Genomic DNA, 1455 nt, shown 5'->3' with positions numbered 1-1455 from the left:
GAGAGAGAGAGGAGAGAGAGACTTTGGTGCAGCTTAGAACTAGACAGAGGGGATGTATGGATCAAGAAGAGAAGCAAAGTCACATTTTCTCCTGCAATTACATTTGAAAGCCTATGGGGTTTGGGTGGCCAGGATGCACTAAATTCCTTTCTTTTTCTTTTATTTTTTATTTTTATTTTTATTTTTTACTTTTAATAACATAAACAGGAGCCAGTTAGAATGCATCCTGTCCTCTTACTCTCTCAGTGAAAGAGAACAATCATCATCAATGGCAAATGGCAGTTGCAGTGAGGCAACACAATACTGCGGGCCAGCTTTATGCTCAGGAGAGAACGCTGCACCTCCTCCTCAAGGTTTCTGGTGCTCTACACATTCACATTAACTCCTCTAGTAATAAGCTATAAAAATGATCCCTGAAAGTATAGCCTTAGTAAATTATTAGTTAACTGAAGCTGTAAGAAATCAATGTAGTAACAACAAACAATGACAACAACAACTATTACTATTACTACTTTTACTGAGAGCTTTGTGTTGAATGGCAAGCAATTCACCTGCATTGTCTCATTTAATCCTCAAAACCCTTCCAGGCCAATATTATTATTCCCATATTAAATATTAAATATTAGATGGGTACCCAAATCCACGTGAAAGAGCTGAGATCCAAATCCAGGTTATCTGATTTTATATCCCGAGTTCTTTGGAAACCACTACTCTTTACTGACACTGAAATAACTGGATTTCTTTAAGGCTACATAGAAGTCCTTCCCAACTCTTATTAAAGGTGTCTGAGTCCACTTTCCTGCCCTAATAAGAATATAGCGACCATCACTGAAGATCTTAAGGTTATCATTCTTACCATCAGTGGTAACATGATAGAATGATTAATATAATAAAACTGTCAGTGGCACAAGTGTGAGAAATTAGGTATAGGTGATTCATCTCCCCCATGGTGTCTTCTCCCCTCTTTAGTTCTAAATACCAAATGATTACAAAAACAGGCACACTCAGAGTTAAATTTTGAATTATGTATGAAACTAAACGTATCAGTAAATAAATTTATCAAACATGTAACACATGTCTACTATGTACCATTTTTTAGACTTTAAAGCTCCAGGAGAGCAAAGACCCATCTTGTTCTCTTCGATATTCCCATCACCATACACCTGGTAAAATGTAGGTGCTCAACAAATATTTTTTGAATGGATGGAGGGATGAATGTATAAATGTATGCACAACTGCCATTATACTGAACTATGGCATAGGAGCTTGATGTCTAATGTTGGTAATTTGCCTAAAATGGTGGCGTTAGTACAGGGATCTTGTGCGATGGGTAAAAGTTTTATGTTTCTGCCTATTAGACATCTGGAACTACTGTGAACAATATGTAAGGAATAAACAAAATTTTGTCTTCTATGTGCGTCTGATAGTTTCCCCCGATAACTTAATGGTTAAGGC

At 36.8% G+C, this 1455-nt stretch overlaps 1 non-coding gene across 1 annotated transcript; it reads right to left on the bottom strand.

The window, feature by feature from the left end:
- Positions 1-209: 209 nt before the first annotated feature.
- LOC124905292 (small nucleolar RNA U3) lies at positions 210-429 on the bottom strand. The gene has a single exon (XR_007068450.1). It is a non-coding gene; the product is annotated as a small nucleolar RNA U3 (small nucleolar RNA).
- Between the last annotated feature and the right edge of the window lie 1026 nt (positions 430-1455).

The sequence above is a fragment of the Homo sapiens genome, chromosome X (genome assembly GCF_000001405.40).
Source record: "Homo sapiens chromosome X, GRCh38.p14 Primary Assembly".
Lineage (NCBI taxonomy): Eukaryota > Metazoa > Chordata > Mammalia > Primates > Hominidae > Homo > Homo sapiens.
The sequence above is the reverse complement of the archived record's forward strand: the minus strand, read 5'-3'. Positions and strand labels throughout refer to the sequence as shown.